We start from the raw sequence: 20,369 nt of genomic DNA, 5'->3' as shown, positions 1-20,369 counted from the left end.
CCTGCTCTCCGCCAGCCCCTAGAAACACCCTTTGACCTTCTCTCTTTATGAATTTGACTACTCCAGGTACCTCATATAAGGGGAATCATATAGTATTTGCCCTTTTGTGACTGGCTTATTTCACTTAGTTTCATGTCCTCAAGCTTCACCCATGTGTGTAGCATGTGTCAGAATCTTTCTCCTTCTTCTCAAGGCTCAATAATACTCCATTTTATGTTTATACCACTTTTGTTTATATGGCTTATCTGTGGATACTTGGGTTGCTTCTATATTTTGGTTATTGTGAATAATGCTAAACATCATATTTTAAGAATAGATTGGCCAGGCGTGGTGGTGAATGCCTGTAATCCCAGCACTTTGGGAGGCCGAGGTGGGCGGATCACCTGAGGTTGGGAGTTTGAGACCAGCCTGACCAACATGAAGAAACCCTGTCTCTACTAAAAATACAAAATTAGCCAGGCGTCGTGGCGCATGCGTGTAATCCCAGCTACTCAGGAGGCTGAGGCAGGAGAATTGCTTGAACCCAGGAGGCAGAGGTTGCAGTGAGCCGAGATTGCACCATTGCACTCCAGCCTGGGCAACAAGAGCGAAACTCCGTTTCAAAAAAAAAAAAAAAAAAAGACTAGATTAAGACCTTGTCTTACTTAAGGAAGCAAAACAGCAATACCAGTTAATCAGGTCAAATATATGGGAATAGAGACATTTGCATTTTTACCCAGTCTTTACGCAGTATTAGAAACAAGCCAAATCAATTATTGTTAGTTATTGGAACACTTACTTTTTTCCCCCCTCCTTTAAACTTTAGATTTTGGTCCTAAAAACAGATTCTCAGGATCTTGTTGCTTCCTTCAGAGTGACAACTGGAACAAGCAATACCACAGCCATTAAGTCAATTGAGTTTGCCCGGAAGGGGAGGTGAGTGAGATCTTACCTTTTAAGGGACAGTTTTAAGAGTGAATAGAATGCAAAAATACATGGAGATTTGCAGTTTTCATGTATATTATACTTAAGCATTTTTTAAAAATGTACTTAAGGTTTTTAGAAACTTACAATATCTGGTTTTCGAGTTCATAACATTTCCTGCCGTAGTTACATCTTCCTTATCTGGAGGTTATCAGGCGGTTACTTTACAGAAAAATAAGTAAGTGGTCAGTGCTTAAAACCAAAATGCCTGGCATATAGTAAGCACTGGGTATATATTAACTTATTATCATCAGGACTGATGTCATCAAATTCACATTGTAACTGAATACTGCCTATTTACCCTTTTAATTTTGGATGTTATTCTGGTAGGTTTGGTTACCTAGTTAGAAGTCGTAGAATATATCAACAGAAATAGGAAATACGTTGTCAGTAAGAGGTAATAGTCCTCCTATTTTGTTTAGGAACACCCATACATGACTTAGAGCAGGGGTCCCCAACCCCCAGGCCACAGACCAGTATTGGCCTGTTAGGAACCCTGCCACACAGCTGGAGGTGAGCATTACCACCTGAGCTCTGCCTCCTGTCAGATCAGCAGCAGCATTAGATTCTCATAGGAGCACGGACCCTATTTTGAACTGCACATGTGAGGGATCTAGGTTGTACACTCCTTATGAGAATCTAATGCCTGATGATCTGAGGTGGAACAGTATCATCCTGAAACCATAATCCTCCCACCAGCCTGGGCCGTGGAAAAATTGTCTTCCACAAAACCAGTCCCTGGTGCCAAAAATGTTGGGGACAGCTGACTTAGAGGATATTAATGTTCAAAATTCTCTTGAATTAAGAAAAGGTTATAGTCAGTGAAGTCTGCAAGAAAGTGATGAAATAACTAATATTTCATACAGATTTCTAAGATTTTCAATGTCATTACAGTAAAAATGACATTTTAAAATGACATATTTAGTTTATTACCTCATTTAAAAAATATATATTATGTGTAAAACAGGCCAGAGAGATGAAGTATTTATATCCATTTCACTGTAAACTTGGGAATTTAGGAAGCTGGTTTCAGTAGAGAGGTCTTGGAACTTAGTTAATGCTGACAATTTGTATATTTTGGGTTCAGGGATACACAGGAAGTATAAAACATATTCCCACTTAAAATTGTATTTTGGTTTGGGAGATGACAAGTAGATATATAAATATTCTAGTCTATTACTTTGATTTTTCCTCAATTCTTCCCTAGTTTATTAGTCGTTTTGTAGTACTAAGGAACAGATTTCTGACCTCTGGTGTTGATATTTTTATCCTTCCCGTAGTTGCTTTTTAATTAACACGGCAGATCGAATAATCAGAGTTTATGATGGCAGAGAAATCTTAACATGTGGAAGAGATGGAGAGCCTGAACCTATGCAGAAATTGCAGGATTTGGTGAATAGGTATGTATCACAACCTAGAAGAATATGTGATCATTCATGACCTGGGCTTGAGTTCCAGCTCTCCTTGGTACTTTCCTTGTCCTTTAGGACCCCATGGAAGAAATGTTGTTTCTCTGGGGATGGGGAATACATCGTGGCAGGTTCTGCCCGGCAGCATGCCCTGTACATCTGGGAGAAGAGCATTGGCAACCTGGTGAAGATTCTCCATGGGACGAGAGGAGAACTCCTCTTGGATGTAGCTGTGAGTACATTAGGACATTGCTTTTGTTAGTCACATAATCCAAAAAATCTAAAATCTGTTCTTAACAACCTGTTTTTCTTTCCTTCACTAAAATTTAGTGGCATCCTGTTCGACCCATCATAGCATCCATTTCCAGTGGAGTGGTATCTATCTGGGCACAGAATCAAGTAGTAAGTATTCTATTTTACTTGCTTCGAAACTAGTTACCCCTTCTTTTTATCAAAGAACCTTATACATAGGAAGCTAAAAATTACATTTTTATTTTCTTTTGCATATGATTCTCGCAACCTAAATTACATAGGTTCAGTGCATCTAGTTGCACTTTATTTTGGTGGGAAGGTCTTGGTCCCAAGTTGGTTTTCTGGCTCTTTTCAGGGAGAAACTCTATTGAACTTTCTGTTGCATTTTTCTATTATTTATTTGAGATAACATTTTTCTTTTGCTTTTCTTACTTTCAGCTCAGTTTCTGTTTTACATCTTAATTTTACTTTGAACACCTTTAAATTATGTTTGTAATCAGTGTACTTACAAGAAAATTTAACATTTTACCTCTAAATTCCTAAAATGACCAAAGAAGGCAGTGATTCAAAAGAGCTACAGTTAATAACTTAGCTTATCTTAATGTTTAAGATAGAAAATACCTAAGCTAGTAAAACTTACAGATACCCATTTTTTTCTTGTCTGCCAAATTTAATCTAAGAATTGTGAATTCCTTTCATGCTCACATCTTTCATTTTATCATTAATGTGTAGATTACAGATTATTGCTTTCACATATGGTTAAGTAGTATATCTTGTTGTATAGGAAAACTGGAGTGCATTTGCACCAGACTTCAAAGAATTGGATGAAAATGTAGAATACGAAGAAAGGGAATCAGAGTTTGATATTGAAGATGAAGATAAGAGTGAGCCTGAGCAGACAGGTACTATTTCTAAATTGCAGACAGGATTTCCTAAAGGGAAAATGATTGCTTTACTTAATATTCTTCATTTGTGTTGTAAATTTATTTCAGCACTTCATCTAAAATGCCCCCCTCCACCCCACACTTTTTTTTTTTTTTTTTTTTGAGATGGAATTTCGCTCTTGTCACCCAGGCTGGATGCAATGATGTGATTTTGGCTCACTGCAACCTCTGCCCCCTGGGTTCAAGTGATTCTCCTGCCTCAGCCTCCCGAGTAGCTGGGATTACAGGTGCCTGCCACCACTCCCAGCGAATTTTTTGTATTTTTAGTAGAGATGGGGTTTCCCCATGTTGGCCAGGCTGGTCTGGAACTCCTGACCTCAGGTGATCCACCCACTTTGGCCTCCCAAAGTGCTGCCATTACAGACATGAGCCACTGTGCCTGGCCTATGAACCACTGTGCCTGGCCTTCTTTTTTCTTTAAGCTTACACAATTTCCACAGTATTTGGAGAGCCTTAATTTATAAGGTGTTTACTAAGGGCTTATATGGGTATTACCAGGGCTCAAGCAGCTCTCTTAACATATCATTGTGTATTTCCTGATTAATTGCAGATGACTAAGTGAGGACATACATGCAGCACCTAGCAAAGAACTCACCATGCTAAGAGTGCTCAGCTTTTCCCATGTATTCTGTCACTCCTTTGTCAGTAAGAGAAGGGTCAAGAACCTGGGCTCTGAAGTCAGACTGCCTTGGGCAAAATACTGCTTAAACTGAATTTCCTCATCTGTAAAATAGGGACAGTAATAGTACCTGCTTTTTAGGGTTGTGGGGAGTAAGTGAAATAATTCATGTAAAGCATTTAATATATGCCTAGGCCATAATAAGCACTAAGATATTAATTTCCATTATGATTATGACTGTGATTTTATCTCTTCTGAATTTCTAGATAGGAGCTCCTTGAGAATAAAGATTTGACTTTTTAATCCCCGTGGTGTCTAACACAGGGCTTTATAACATAGTAAGGTTTGTGCGGGTGAATGCTTAGGATGCCCAGTTGGCACTGTCAGTGAGTAATTAATGCCACAGATTATTGACCCCCGAGATACTTGATGGTGCCAGGAATCAGGATTGGGAATGAGGTTGATTCTGTTTAGTGTCAAAGTGCTGGTCCTCACTTTTGTGATATTAGATAACTTGCATGCCTAATGTGTTTTAGGAGGACCTCCAGGGAAGTAGAATGTTCTAGATTATAGGGTTATGTTCTGTCAAACCTTCCCAGATTTCCACATAAATTGTTCCTCCTTCCCATATCCTGAGCAAGTTACACATACCATTACTGTATTAAATTGAAACTGTCTCTCTGTCTCCCCAGTTAGACTATAAACCTTTTACTGAAGAGCTGTTCCCAACTTTTTCTGGGTCATTGCACTATTTTCAGTGCCTAGGATAGGGTGGAAATTCAGCACATATTTGTTAAATGATTAAGTGAAGTGAACTGTTTGGTTTTCCTCCTTTGTTTCTCTGGAATTTCAACTTATGAAAACCTTGAAGCTGCAAATAAAAAGCAGTTTTTCACTTCTTCTCAAACATCTCCTGTGTTTCTGTCCTGCAGGGGCTGATGCTGCAGAAGATGAGGAAGTGGATGTCACCAGCGTGGACCCTATTGCTGCCTTCTGTAGCAGGTGAGCCGGCCCGGAAGGCTGGGCACCTTGGCTACTGCTGCTCCTGGCCTCTGGGGGAGTACTCTGCAGTTTCCCTGGCTATCCCTTCATTCCCGTCTGCTTATTAGCTAAAAGAGATAACTCGTTTGGTGTACAAGAAATCCAATGTAGCCTTTCTTCTCTAGTCCTATGTTCCTTTCACTTCTCCCTGATAGAGAATTTTAAGGAACCAAAATAATTCATTTATCCTGTTTATTTTTATCACCAATTTTATCAATTACATTGTTTGATTCCCTTTTATTCTTCTTGGCTTTCTTAAAGTTCTAGATCCATACCTGTTGCTTATGCTTAATATAGGTGATAGAGGAAGGGCTCATGGTTTAAGCAACTATCTCCTCTTTTTTCCAATCCCTTGTCTGATCCTGCTCCAAATAGTGATGAAGAGCTGGAAGATTCAAAGGCTCTATTGTATTTACCCATTGCCCCTGAGGTAGAAGACCCAGAAGAAAATCCTTACGGCCCCCCACCGGATGCAGTCCAAACCTCCTTGATGGATGAAGGGGCTAGTTCAGAGAAGAAGAGGCAGTCCTCAGCAGATGGGTCCCAGCCACCTAAGAAGAAACCCAAAACAACCAATATAGAACTTCAAGGAGTACCAAATGATGGTAAGAGCTACATCTTCTCCCTCTGGCCTGGCAGACGCCACTTTCTACTCACTCCCCAGCGCAACCTGGTAATTTCCTGTTTGAGCGATTTCACCTTAGAGGAATTTTCCCATGAGTCTGTTTTATAGTGTTTTACAACTTTATAATGATTGCGTCTGTGTTCACTTCTCTCTTAAAATGGAGAAATTCTGCCCTTCAGTACTTTGCCTAAGATGCTGCACTTTAATTCTTCTGACAGCCGGCTCAGAGTTTATTATACCATTCTTCTTTTAAATGTTTCCCCGTAGAGTGGTTTTATTAGATGTAAAATACTAGTTAGACTTGGACAATCATTTCATCCTTCCTGCCACCTTTTAGAGTCTGACTTGGGAAGCCTTTATTATCATGTCTTGGGATAAGTAGGGATGGATGGGGGTGTGTGTTTACCATTGAGCATCCTTCTTCCTCTTCTCTTTTATTTTTATTTATTTTATTTTATTTTATTTTTTTGAGACAGGGTCTCGCTCTGTTGCCCAGGCTGCAGTGCAGTGGCATGATCTTGGTTCACTGCAACCTCCGCCTCCCGGGTTCAATCAATTCTCCTGCCTCAGCCTCCCGAGTAGCTGGGACTACAGGCATGCACCACCACGCCTGGCTAATTTTCATATTTTTAGTAGAGGTGGGGTTTTGCCGTGTTGGCCAGGCTGGTCTCGAACTCCAGACCTCAAGTGATCCGCCTGCCTCGGCCTCCCTAAGTGCTGGGATTACAGGCGTGAACCACTGCGCCCGGCCCTTCCTCTTCTCTTTTAGCTAACTGCAGATCACATTTTGCAACTACTTATTTTCCTGATGCTATCGATTTCTGTGTCTACTCTGTTTCAGACACTGTTTGGTATATGTACCATTGCTGACTTTTACATCAACCCTGCAAGTTGTTTTACCTGCTTTTTAAAGGAGAAAATTTAGGCTGAGGTTATGTGTAAGAGGTTCTGTAAACTTGCCTAAAGTCTCACAGAAGTGGTGGGGTCAGGATTCTCATTCTAGTCTCTCTAGTTCCAAAGTCCATTCTCTTTCTGCTCTCACATGCCTCTCTGTGTATGTGTGTGTGCATCTGTGTGTGTTCCTTCTTCTGGCTTGGTTTGATAGTATTAGTGCATCTTTCAGCTACTTGTTCAGTTTAGAGTTACTGTGGCTTGGCATGAACATATAAGCCAGGGGTGTCCAATCTTTGACTTCCCTGGGCCACATTGGAAGAATAATTGTCTTGGGCCACATATAAAATACACTAACAGTAATGATAGCTGATGAGATTTTTAAAAATTGCAAAAAAAACTCATAATGTTTTAAGAAAATTTATGAATTTGTGTTGGGCCACATTCAAAGCTGTCCTAGGCCGCATGTAGCCTGTGGGCCACAGATTGGACAAGCTTAATATAAGCCATGTGTGCCTTTTGGCCAAGGAACTATCTCTCATTTAATGACCACTGTTTTATACTTATAGAAATAAGACAAACTTTTCTCTTTATAATTATTAATTGATCTGGGACACAAAGCAACATTCTTTGCTCAACAAAGTTGTGGTTGGGGTGATGAGACTGGTGTCATGTGGATTCCTTTCCATGCCTGTCTGTCCTACAGAAGTCCATCCACTACTGGGTGTGAAGGGGGATGGCAAATCCAAGAAGAAGCAAGCAGGCCGGCCTAAAGGATCAAAAGGTAAAGAGAAAGATTCTCCATTTAAACCGAAACTCTACAAAGGGGACAGAGGTTTACCTCTGGAAGGATCAGCGAAGGGTAAAGTGCAGGCGGAACTCAGCCAGCCCTTGACAGGTAAGGACACATTGGGAGCATTGTCTGGCTTGCTTCGTGGCCTTGCTTTGTGTAGCCCTTGACTTCATTTAACTGCAACATTTTTTCCCCCTCTCTTCCCTCGTTTTTCCCAGCAGCAGATAATTTCTGAATTTTAAGCTGCTGCTAAGGGCAGGCTAAACCAGATTTGGCTTAATTCAGTGGCTCTTAACCTTGGGTCTGTAAATAGTTTTCAATAAATCTACATTCCCCTGATGTTATATGCAAAATATTATGTGAATATTTTTCTGGGGAAGATGTCCATAGCTTTCCTCAGATTCCTGTAGGAATTCATGACCCAAAGAAGGGTAAGAACCTCTGGTTTAATTCATTTCTTCATCCATATTTGCTCTTAGGTTTTTTGTTTGTTTTGTCTCAAAGAGCCAGACAAGTAGCCAGAAGTACAAGCTTGTTTTATATAGTCCTTGACTGGTTCACTGTGGCATCTTTTCTCTCCCTCTTCAAATTGTTCAAATCCCACAGGTAGTGCTTTCTCTCTCTTAGTATTCCAGAAGCAATAATGAAATTGTTAGTACCATCGTGTTAAGGAAGAAGATGGGGTTTGTTTTGGTTTTTGATTTTTTTCCAATATCTGAAAACAGGAGGAGATGATCAAAAAGACAGAAACTACAGTATCTGTGTAGTTTCTTAACACCTAAGCCTTTTGATACATAATATTTGAGTTTTCTCACTTTTATATTACTGAGGGATTTTTATTGGGGGACAGAAAACAATTTCTGTTTCTTACCAAATACTTGTGAGCCTAGGCTAATTGGTCTCTTGTTTAGAAAATGTTAATCAAATTAGAATCCATTTCTGTGTAAACATTGGGCTTTGGAAATTGTTTTTTTGCTTTATATAGAAGCACTGCTTTAGTTAATACAGTATTCTCAATTTTTTTGTGGCTAGTTTGGTAGACTCAAAGGTAGGATTGATAACGTATCAATGGTTGTATTCAGGCTCCCCCGACTTTAAAATTTTAATCTAAATGTGTGGACTAGAGTGCAAAACAGAATTCTTTGTTTAATTTATAACTTACATCATTTAATCATTGTCTGTAAACATGAATTCTCTTACAGAGAAGCTGAAATAGACAGTTATTCATCATTTTGAGTATTCCATCTCGAGTTTACTAGATTTAGACTTTAGTTTTTGATAGCCCAACACCATACCACTGAGTACCAATATTTTTTTCCCGACAACATTTATGGTGGTGCACTGATGGTTACCACGTCCACATTCAACCCACCTAAGGCTGTGTTTGTGTATATATACATATAATGCTGTGTGTGTGTGTGTGTGTGTGTGTGTGTGTGTGTGTATATATATATATATATATATATATATATATATATATATATATATATATATATATTTTTTTTTTTTTTTTTTTTTTGAAACGGAGTTTCACTCTTGTCCCCAGGCTGAATTGCAGTGGTGCGATCTCAGCTCACTGCAACCTCTGCCTCCTGGTTCAAGTGATTCTCTTGCCTAGCTTCCTGAGTAGCTGGGATTACAGGCGTGCACCACCATGCTTGGCTAATTTTGTGTTTTTTTAGTAGAGACGGGGTTTCACTATGTTGGTCAGGCTGATCTTGAACTCCTGACCTCAAGTGATCCACCCACCTCAGCTTCCCAGAGTACTGGGATTACAGGTGTGAGCTATCACGCCCGGCATGTTTGTATATATTGTAAAGTAGCCTGGAGCAGTCGTGGGCATTGCCAACAAAGATTGCAGAATGACTAGATGTAAATAAGAGCAATCCTTCCAAACCCACTTCTTGCACACACTGATGCCACTACAGAAGAAACGCAATTTAAAGTTTAAATAGATTTCCCTGGCCTGGAGAGCTAAAATATTTTAAGGGTGATTTAAAATGTGGCCAAACATAATTAATTAAAACACTTTAGGACATAATCTCCTAGCTTCTTAAAACGTGTCTATCCCTAATCATGTGCTTTTCAAAAGGAAATTATGGTAAATAAGGCTCACGCCTGTAATTCTAGCACTTTGGGAGGTTGAGGCAGAAGGATTTCTTGAGCCCAGGAGTTCAAGACCAGCCTGGGCAACATGGTGAGACCCCATCTATGTAAAAGCCAATCAAACAAACAAGAAAAAACCTTGAGCTGGGTGCAGTGGCTCATGCCTATAATCCCAGCACTTTGAGAGGCCAAGACAGGAGGATTGCTTGAGCCCAGGAGTTTGAGACCAGCCTGGGAAACAAAATAATCAAAAAATTAGCCAGGCGTGGTGGTGCACATCTGTGGTCCACCTGGTAACATAGGAAGCTGAGGCAGGAGGATCGCTTGAGCCCAGGAGTTTGATATTGCAGTGAGCTATGATCACGCCGTTGCACTCCAGCCTGGGTAACAGAGTGAGACCCTGTCTCAAACAAAAATAAAACCAGCCAGGTGCAATGGCTCACACCTGTAATCCCAGCACTTGGGGAGGCTGAGGCGGTCAGATTGCTTGAGCCCAGGAATTCGAGACAAGCCTGGGCAACATAGTGAGACCCTGTCTCTACAAAAGAAAAAAATAATTAAAAAACAACCCAAAAACCTCAAAGGGGCATTGAGGTATAGTTCCAAGACTTCCACAGAAGGATTACATCTGGCTTTATTGACCAGCTGCAGAGTGGTTTGGATCTTTGTGAAGGTTGAAAATTTTGGGGAGAGTGATGAAATTGGATATCACAGATAATTCCATCAAAAGTCTGTTTTAGGGCAACCTATCATGTTTTTATATGGGATTGTTTGGGTGAGGGTAGGGCTTTATCCAGTAACGTGGTCGTCTTGGAGGGCTCTGAGCAAGCTAAGTCAGACTGGTACCTGCTGCTGATTTGCATATGGCCCATCAAGACCACTCAGGGAAACTCTGGCATTTGGATCTCATATTCTTCCACACCTTGGAGATTTTCAGTAAAAGCCAATATATAGTTATTGTAGATTTTCCACCAGGTATTAAGAAAGGAAACCTGATGCAAAACTTCTGAGGCCAAACCATCTTCAAAAATCACTCCGGTCTGAGGGTTGTATGTGTAGATTCAAGGTTTTGGCCCCCTGCCCCATGGACAACTTCAGCATTTGAGTCAAATCATTTGAAGGTAGGATTATAGTTGTAGGCTGTGTTACTACCCAAGTTAGATGAATGACAACTGTTTGTTAATATCTGTAGTTGACCAGTTACTGTAGAAACTGTTCCATAAACTGATTAGCCCTAACAAAACTACCATAGTCTGTTGTCTGTTGCAACAGGAGAGTATGCATTTCAAGGGAAAATTGGCAGAGAGACCACTATAGAGATAATCTGGCCATCTGGAATCTGGGGCTATAGAAAATTGTTTCCTGTCAAACAGCTTGTCAGTGTTGGCTAGCACTAGAGGGCCCACATTCATGTGGACATTTTTCTATGTGAATGAGGACCCAAAGTGAAGCTTGGTGAGGGTAACCCTGAGCTTGGGACTTTTGGGAAGGACCAGGCTAACATAGTCTGCGCTATCTATCAAATGCTTCTTAGTTACTTTAAATACTCTCCAGAGGACAGTCCTGAGACCAGAAACTTGAGATGTGAGCAGAATCACCAGTCCTAGTTGTCTGTGATTGCTCAAGGATTGCCCAAGAGCTAGGGCTCCTTGGCAGTAAAAACATCAGTAATAAAGTGGGACAAAGGTGTGGTCGGTTACATACACGTTCTAAAGGCCTCATGGGATGGTAGACATGAAGGGGTTGGTGCACACCTGGGTCTGTTGGAGATGGCAAGGGCCAAAGTGAGCAGAAGCGACATTTCTGGGAGTGGACAGGCACCATGCAGATTTCCCTGTCTTGGGCTGCGCTACACCACTGCCCTGGTGCCAGCCCATCACCCTAAGGCTCTGAACCACCTCCAAGTCACTTACTGAATCTGTGATTTTTTTTTTTTTAATGCTTGGTAGTTTTGTTTTCTTTTTTTCTCTCTTTGTTTTTCTCTCCCCTCCCTCCCTCCTTTCCTTCTTTTCCTTCCTTTCCTTGTGAAGACTAATTTATGAATTCCTGCTAGAATCAAGGTAGTCTTTCTCACTCTGTGGGATGTTATTAACTAACTAAGGTAGGGTTTGAAATCATGATTCAGTGTTCTCTTAGGCCAACCTAGATTGGGCTGCTACTGGAAAGTACCAATAATAGCTGGTCATTTTGAGCTGAATTTTCCTACCTGTTACATTACTGGAGATTTCCTTTATGTTGTAGCTAAATAATATGTTTCCTTGGGGGCAGTTGCTGCGTCAGGTCTTTAAATTGGCTGGAGTCTTCTATATTGCTAGTTCTGTGTATCTTATCTTGCTCATAGTACTGCTTGCTCTGGTTTTGATTTGTTGCCTGATGCCTCAACAAGCTTTTGTTTTGTTTGACTTTTATTTATTTATTTTGTCTATTCAGAAAAACAAGGACGGTATAGAAACATGAGCTGCCCTCCAGTATAAGGTAGCTCATTAGTCATCTTGAGTGCCTATTACTAATGCTGTTGATTAGTGATCAAGCCACTTTCTCCTATTATGATTTAGGTTTAAAATGGCAATGTTGTATTCATTTTTAGATGATTACCACTAAATTGGTCAGGGTACCTGTGGGAATAGTTGGTGAAAATTGCCTTAAAGTGGTAAGGCATGATATTGAGTCTTGTGGAGTGGATTTTTCTATCACAGGAAGTTTTTTAAAAATCAATGTAGCTGGGCACAGTGGCTCACGCTTGTAATCCCAGCACTTTGGGAGTCCGAGGCGGGTGGATCACTCGAGGACAGGAGTTCAAGCCCAGTCTGGCCAACATGGTGAAACCCCGTCTCTATTAAAAATACAAAACAATTAGCCAGGCATGGTGGTGGGCGCCTATAATCCCAGCTACTTAGGAGGTTGAGGCAGGAGAATCGTTTGAACCCAGGAGGCGGAGGTTGCAGTGAGCTGAGATCACGCCATTGCAATCCAGCCTGGGCAACAAGAGTGAAACTCTGTCTAAAAAAATAAAAATAAATAAAATAAATAAAAAATCAATGCAAGGAATTCATTGTGATTTATGTTGAGAGAGATCTGAAAAACCATTGCTAAGTAAGCTTTTAATCTGACTGAACTATGGAAAAGTTTAAATTTGATTTTTAACAGCATAACATTCAGTAGAAAGTTTGTATCTCATTGTAACTTTAGTCTGTTCTCAGGCACATGTGAATATATTTTTATTGCCAGTTTTCATTTGTGCAGGAACTTCAAAAATCAAAGTTATATAAATGGGTACTTTTCTTTCATAGTTTGGGCGATTATTTTTTAACCATTATACCTTCAAGTGGCATGCTCTCTGCCATTCCAAATGACACCTGGGAGGATTTTCTTCACCTTCTTCTCTTTTTACACTTCCTAGTTAATATTTCACAGCAGCTCATTTAACGATGTCTCTCAGAGGTTGAGCAGCTTCTATGGAATAATCAGGGAAGTGTTCATTTCATTGTACTATTCAGGATATTATTTATCGATCATTGTTGGTGTATAGCAATGTAGACAGTAGCTCTCACGAACATTTCACCATATTTGGGATTCTAAGGTGATAAGTATGTCACTTAAGGAACTGTGGTGCTGGGAAAAGGGTTTCTTGCTCACTTGTTAATCATTTAGTGACTAATCAATCTTTAAAATATATGAAGGGTTGAAAGGTGTGGTACCCTAAAATTTCTTCTCCTCTCCTCATTGCACTTTTTGGAATGTTAAACATTATTTGTTAGCACCTTAGAGCATGGTTAGCAGCTTAGAAAAAATAGAACTCTGATCATTTTGCTTTTCCCCCAACCCTTTGGGACAGTACTGAGGAAAGTATTGGGGTGGGGGGTTTGGATTTGGATTGTTTTTTGTTCAATAAAGAGTAATTGGGAGTTGGAGTTGGTTATGTATTTTCTTAAAAAGGGGAATTTCTTGGTCCACGTGTGCTTGTAATGCATCATCCAGCATTCAGTATTTCTGTTCTTACAAGTAACTGGTCTAAATTGAAGCTAAAAGAAATCTTTTTGTGTCTAATCTCTTTAGCAGGAGGAGCAATCTCAGAACTGTTATGAAGACCTTCGAAGTTCTTCATTCTTTCTCACTTTGCCATCATGTGGCCTCTGGACACTGTGGTCAGTCATTTGAAAATTGACTTTAATTTAAAACAAAGGCCTGTGCCTCCCACCCAGGAGGTGGGAGGGTGAATTTTATGTTTAAATGAAGAAGTGAATTATGGAAGAAGAGTATACGACCTTCCCTTCCCTTTCAAGCATAAGTCCAAATAGACTCTCAGGAATGAAGATTTGTGAAGACATCAGATAGGAATTTTGACTCATTTAAACTTTGATGCTTAGTTATGTTGCTGGAGAAAAGATACTTATGTTTTGCTCATCTAACTTCATTGTACCCAGCGTCATTTTGACATGTCATTTCCTATCTCCCATTTGCCTTCGGTCCTCAATGCATGTCTTTGAGTGACTTCTTATCTGAAATTTTGCTACTGGTATCCTAGGAAAGCTTTTGTTGGATACTCTCATTTTAAACTTCTCCTCTCCCCAGATACCTCCTATATTTCCATATTGTGTGCAAAGGATGGGCAGAAAAGAAAGTGCTTGAAAGATTTCAAATTTTCAGAAAGGGAACAACGAAGGCCCTCTCTTCCTCTCATACCACGTTTTGCTCAAGAAGCTGGGCTGTAACAATTCAGGGTTTTCCCTTGTTTTCCTCTCATTGCATGTTTCCCTCCAATATTGGTTCATTGTCATCAATCATGGTTTTTGAAGATAGCTAGTTTTATCCATCTCCAGCAAAGAATCATCAATAGTTTATATTGCTTTACCTGTGCTGGCTTCCAGAGATGGAAACAAACCCAGGTGTCTCTCAACAAGCTACTTTTTTACTGGGGTGGGGGAATCTATGCAAGGAGTAAAGTAAAACCATCCAGAATCAAAGCAGCAACCACATAGTTCAAATCAAAGATCAAGGTGAATTTTTTGTATCACTGCCTGTGGAAATCTATCCTCATCAGTCATTGCATTTTTCCCTGCCTATACCTGTGCTCCTTTTTCTTACTGTGTTTTCAGTCACTTCCTTTCTGTGAAAGGTTGCTTAGCTTTTTTTTTGACATTTGTTGTTCTTTATAAAAATAACAGATTGGATAGATGTGTACATTTGGTGTTTGAAATTCTCTGAAAATCCCATTAGGAAACCAGGTGTGAAAAGGGCTCAGTAGCTTCTCTGAGTGGCGTTTTTAGCTGACTGGAAGTGCTTAATCTGGATCGTCTTTTTTTTTTTTTTTTTTTTTTCAATATTTTAAAAGGAGAATTTAAATACTGTGCTTACTGTGAAATATATCAGTTGGTGAGCCGGGCGTGGTGGGTCACGCCTGTAATCCCAGCACTTTGGGAGGCCAAGGCGGGTTGATCACCCGAGGTCAGGAGTTCAAGACCAGCCTGGCCAACGTGGTGAAAGCCTGTATCTATTAAAAGACAAAAATTAGCTGGGCGTGGTAGTACATGCCTGTAATCCCAGCTACACTGGAGGCTGAGTCAGGAGAATCACTTGAACGTGGGAGGCAGAGGTTGCAGTGAGTGGAGATCGCACCACTGCCCTCCAGCCTAGGTGACAGAATGAGACTCTATCTCAAAAAAAAAAAAAAAATGATATCAGTTGGTGGATGCTCCTATAGGTAGCCAAACACATTGATTACCTGTTAGATTTTAGGATAGAAATCAAAGTAGAGCACGTCAGCAAGAGCCTCTTTGTCTCACTCCATCATTTAAAACCAGTATATTCAGTAGTTGAAGAAAGAGCTCTCCCTGAGTCAGTTGCAAAACGTCTATATTTTTAGATGCCACTACTTTTTTCTTAAATATTCATTTTGAGACTGTCATGAGTTAGACCAGTGGTTGAGATTAGTAGATGGCTCACTAGACATGTTTTTGTTTTGCAGACATTATATCCATTCCAGTCCTCTGCACTGTACACTGCAGCAGTGTGCAAACTATGGGACTTAGAGGGTTTCTGCCATCTTTCCACGTGTGAAGTAGCTTGGTTTCCTCTGCCTGTGCATTTGGATGTTTGTGCTATGTCCACCTCCTAAACTGGCTACTGAGAAAATCATCTTCAGCCCTGTCAGATTGTCTCTGGCAGTAGCTCCTAATAATTATTTATGTTTTTGGAATTTTTTTTTCAACTTTTAAAAAACCTTCTATCCATTTCAATTTGAATTATTTGATTTGTACAATATATGTATATTCTCTTCTTCCTTTTTGTCATCCCTGCCCTGCCACCCCCAAAATTTTGTTTTTAAAAATATTCTGGGCTGGGCATGGTGGCTCACACCTGTAATCCCAGCACTTGGGGAGGCCGAGGCTGGTGGATCATCTGAGGTCAGGTGTTTGAGACCAGCCTGGTCAACATGGTGAAACCCCGTCTCTACTAAAAATACAAAAATTAGCTGGGCGTGGTGGCGGGCACCTGTAATCCTAGCTACTCGGGAGGCTGAGGCAGGAGAATTGCTTGAATCCAGGAGGCAGAGGTTGCAGTGAGCTGAGATTGCGCCACTGCACTCCAGCCTGGGTGACAGAGCAAGACTCCATCTCAAAAAAAAAAAAAAAAAAAAATCTGTAGTTTTGTACAAGATGAGACTTAGCCTTGGGTACTTCTTGCTGAAGCTTTAATGCTTTGTAAATAAAATCGGATGTTTATTAAAGAACAGGTGTAGATGTTTATTTGTAAACACTGCTCACTTCTGGAACTCTCTGGCCACTTTGCTTTAGTACAAAGGAAAGTGTGATTTCCTGTGTTGATACTAGATCTTTCAGTGTGGAAAGATAGATCTGGAAGGGGTAGGGAGTGGACAGGTAGTCTAGATTTCTGCCTCTAGATGAGATTGTAAATAAATGATGCAAGTGGAAAAGTTGTTGATCAAAAAGATCATCTAGGAATGATCTGTCTTCCAATTATTTAACTCAATATAGTTTTGCAATTACTCTGAAGAGGCCGTAGGGCTAGGCATTCTGGAGGTTACAAAAATGCATGCTAGGAAGTTCCTGTCTTCCAAGGACCTTTCTTCAAGTCTAAGTAAGTACGGTTGAATTCTTATTAGCCTTTTTTTTTTTTTGAATGAAGCAGCTTTAAAATTTATTAAATGCTCGTTGTCTCCTAAAGATAAGATGTTTCACAAAGTCTATGTAAGTCTTTGATTTTAATGTCAAATTTGAGGGTCTACTTATTAATCTTATGTGATTGAGAACTCCATCTTTGACATCATAGCTGTTTCATAGCAACCTTGACCTACGTGAATAATGAGCTCTATTCTGTAGGATAAAGGGAGTAGGCCAAGAGTCAGGGAGCATCATGCATCCTCTCACTCAAAATATATCTTCAGTATCCTTGGGAAGGAAGAGTGCCTAAAAGGGGGAGAGGAGCTGCCTTTAACACAACCTTAAACATTCTGATTTGAAAAGGTCATCTTGGCCCTTGTCTTTATGAATTTCCATTTCTATTTAAAATTCCTTACACATTGAACAGTGTTTCACACTTTACAAAGTGTTCTCACATACAGTATATCATTCAGTGCTCTAAGTGACCTTCCTCAGATAGGCAAGGAGGTCTTAAGTTACAAAGGAGGAAACAGAAATTCAGGAAGGGTAAGTTACTTGCCTCCTAGTCCAGAGTTCTTAATCCTTTTTATAGGAAGTTTAGGAACATTAAAATAATTCAAGTTAATCTTCCTTTTTTTAGACTTTAGTATTTGTTTTATTTGGTGACATTTAACTGGGGCTTTTGAAACCCTTAATTTAGATCCTAGTTTATAGAGGGGAAGGGGAAGGGTGAGGAAGAGTGTAACTTCACTATGCATTTGAGGTAATCTGGAAATTTACTTCAGTTTCTGAAGTCTTTTCTTCTTTGTCTTCCCAAGAGGTGGATTTAAAGTCATTAAGAGAACACGAAAACGGCCAGCGCGGTGGCTCATGCCTGTAATCCCAGCACTTTGGGGGGCTGAGGTGGGTGAATTGCTTGAACCCAGGAGTTGGAGACAAGCCTCGACAACATGGTGAAACCCCGTATCTACAAAAAATAGAAAAATTAGCCAGGTGTGATAGCCTGCACCTGTAGTCCCAGCTACCTAGGAGGCTGAGGTGGCAGGATCACTTGAGCCTAGGAGGTTGAGGCTGCAGTGAGCTGTGATCATGTTACTGCACTCCAGCCTGGGTTGACAGTGAGGCCCTGCCTCAAAAAAAAAAAAAAAAAAAAAAAGCGTGAAGACTAGTAGGTAAGGTGGTTATTTTATTAACAACGATAGTTAGTAAAGCAACACCATTGTGATTTTTTTCCTGCCTTGTGGCCTCACCTGTTTATAAGGACTGGACTTTTATTTATTAAGTTGTGTTGTTTTATTGACAATACATGCATCATATCTTTTGACTTTGAAGGATATCTCATGTCAAAGGAATCAAGTTATGATTTATAGAGGATTCAGCTGGAATACCTTGTGGGTGCTGGCTGAGGGTGGCAAAACGCCTACCGAGACATGAAGGTTTTAGCCACTAGTTTTGTCCTTGGGAGCCTGGGGTTGGCCTTCTACCTGCCTTTGGTGGTGACTACACCTAAAACACTGGCCATCCCTGAGAAGCTGCAAGAAGCTGTGGGGAAAGTTATCATCAATGCCACAACCTGTACTGTCACCTGTGGCCTTGGCTATAAGGAGGAGACCGTCTGTGAGGTGGGCCCTGATGGAGTGAGAAGGAAATGTCAGACTCGGCGCTTAGAATGTCTGACCAACTGGATCTGTGGGATGCTCCATTTCACCATTCTCATTGGCAAGGAATTTGAGCTTAGCTGTCTGAGTTCAGACATCTTGGAGTTTGGACAGGAAGCTTTCCGGTTCACCTGGAGACTTGCTCGAGGTGTCATCTCCACTGACGATGAGGTCTTCAAACCCTTTCAAGCCAACTCCCACTTTGTGAAGTTTAAATATGCTCAGGAGTATGACTCTGGGACATATCGCTGTGATGTGCAGCTGGTAAAAAACTTGAGACTCGTCAAGAGGCTCTATTTTGGGTTGAGGGTCCTTCCTCCTAACTTGGTGAATCTGAATTTCCATCAGTCACTTACTGAGGATCAGAAGTTAATAGATGAGGGATTGGAAGTTAATCTGGACAGCTACTCCAAGCCTCACCACCCAAAGTGGAAAAAGAAGGTGGCGTCAGCCTTGGGAATAGGAATTGCCATTGGAGTGGTTGGTGGCGTGTTGGTGAGGATTGTCCTCTGTGCGCTAAGGGGGGGCCTGCAGCAGTGACAGCTTCAAGAACTTAACAGCCTTGCTCCTGAAGAACTGGCTGCCCAGGAAGCCAAGCTAGCTTTTTAGGGGAGTGTTCCAGCTGCTGGTAGTGGATCAGCTTAGAGGGAACACTCCCACAGCCAAAAGAATGAGTGGGAGAAATGGAGGGGACAATCTCCTGGGAGCTATGCGCAGTAACCTAACTTCCTTATGTCCCATGGATCTCTTCCTGATCTTCCCTGCCCATTGGGTACCCAGGAAACTGCAAGCATTGCCTGTGTTCCTGGGAAGAGTTCTAAGAAGCTTGCATTCATTTTCTACCCTTTATGACTTGGATGCCTCCCCACCTCCATTTCCCCTCTTCTGAGCTGTGTATTCATGTAGAGGGATGTATTCAGCCTTTTTAGTGAACATTTTTTTTCAATAAAAGTAATTCACAGTAGCTGTATGGAGACCTTTTTCTGCTCTTCAGTTTCTTGTATTTATTTAAATTGTCCCATAATCAGTCTGGCTTCATTTTCCTCAGGTTTCTTAGAATAGACATTAAACCAATTGTCTGCTTTTGGGGGCAGGGGGTGCAGTGCATAAGCCTATGGCAGGGGTTGTTAGTAATGACATCCAACTCAGGTGTGTAACAGTCACTAAATATTAACAAATTGCCTGTTCTGCCCAGGTAAATCCCCTGTTTGGTATTAAATTGAATTTCTTGGCAAAACACTAGATCCTTCACCTGGTAGGTTTCCTCTTACCATTCAGACAGCACCTTGGCTTGCCTCCACTCCAGTCCTTTTAGCTCTTTCAGTGCCCTGAAGCTTCTATTCCTGGGAGGGTCAAGTATTGGTTTCTTACAGCAGCCAAGGCCCCCAAAGGAGGATTAGTACTTTGATTCCTCCATAGGAAATCCAGTCTTAAGACTCCGAGGCCATTCGGACCGTGTCTGAGATAATTGGCTTGTGGAACCATCAGGGAAAGACTCTTGGCCACCAGCTGAGCTAATTCTACTGAGAGAATTACAACATTTCTTCCTCTCACTTTTCTCTGACTACAGGAGGTAGCAGAAACCAAAGACCAGCGATTCTCTAGATGTGTGTTAGAATCATCTGGATGACCTTGTGAAAAATAAAGGTTCTTGAGCTCTAATCCTGACAATGCTAATTCAGTTTAAATTATGGTCAAAGGATCTCTATTATTTATTTTACTTTTAACTTGTAAAAATTTCAAACCCATAGAAAAGCTGAAAGAAATGTTTGGTGACCATGCATAGAACCTTTACCAAAATTCACCAGGAATTAACATTTTGTCACAATTATCTTTCTCAATATAGATTGATTTTGTTAAACCATTTGAAAGCTAGTCACAGACATTGCAACTCTTAACTCTTAAACCATGTATGCATCTCCTAATAAGGATGTTCTCTGTAACCAC

At 40.7% G+C, this 20,369-nt stretch overlaps 2 protein-coding genes and 1 pseudogene across 11 annotated transcripts in view, besides 1 other annotated feature; 2 read left to right on the top strand and 1 right to left on the bottom strand.

The window, feature by feature from the left end:
* RBBP5 (RB binding protein 5, histone lysine methyltransferase complex subunit) overlaps positions 1-16,373 on the top strand; it is a 35,837-nt gene extending 19,464 nt beyond the window's left edge. For 5 of the 10 annotated variants that reach the window (XM_047426902.1, XM_047426907.1, NM_005057.4 and 2 more), the window contains 9 exons: positions 806-915; positions 2,244-2,363; positions 2,451-2,604; positions 2,703-2,774; positions 3,409-3,526; positions 5,120-5,189; positions 5,604-5,833; positions 7,451-7,642; positions 13,700-16,373. In XM_047426902.1, the coding sequence (XP_047282858.1) occupies positions 806-915; positions 2,244-2,363; positions 2,451-2,604; positions 2,703-2,774; positions 3,409-3,526; positions 5,120-5,189; positions 5,604-5,833; positions 7,451-7,642; positions 13,700-13,728 (1,095 nt within the window). In that variant the 3' untranslated portion in view covers positions 13,729-16,373. Of the gene's footprint in view, positions 1-805; positions 916-2,243; positions 2,364-2,450; positions 2,605-2,702; positions 2,775-3,408; positions 3,527-5,119; positions 5,190-5,603; positions 5,834-7,450; positions 7,643-13,699 lie in introns of those variants that run through there. The other 5 variants (NM_001193273.2, XM_011509833.4, XM_047426905.1 and 2 more) reach the window with 4 other exon arrangements.
* Positions 10,485-11,352, bottom strand: GYG2P2 (glycogenin 2 pseudogene 2; annotated as a pseudogene).
* Positions 11,300-11,594: a silencer, noted in NCBI's record as "tiled region #1805; K562 Repressive non-DNase unmatched - State 17:Gen3'". NCBI's record gives its function as "represses a minimal TATA promoter and a strong SV40 promoter by Sharpr-MPRA in K562 cells {active_cell/tissue: K562}" and the evidence as "EXISTENCE:reporter gene assay evidence [ECO:0000049][PMID:27701403]".
* Positions 16,374-18,054: 1,681 nt separating the features above from the next.
* TMEM81 (transmembrane protein 81) lies at positions 18,055-19,386 on the top strand. The gene has a single exon (NM_203376.2). It carries the CDS (start codon positions 18,195-18,197, stop codon positions 18,960-18,962), a length of 768 nt encoding a protein of 255 aa, NP_976310.1. The 5' UTR covers positions 18,055-18,194; the 3' UTR covers positions 18,963-19,386.
* Positions 19,387-20,369: the final 983 nt, after the last annotated feature.

The sequence above is a fragment of the Homo sapiens genome, chromosome 1 (assembly GCF_000001405.40).
Source record: "Homo sapiens chromosome 1, GRCh38.p14 Primary Assembly".
In the NCBI taxonomy this organism is placed as follows: Eukaryota; Metazoa; Chordata; class Mammalia; order Primates; family Hominidae; genus Homo; species Homo sapiens.
Note: the sequence above shows the minus strand (reverse complement) of the source record. Positions and strands in the feature narration are given on the sequence as shown.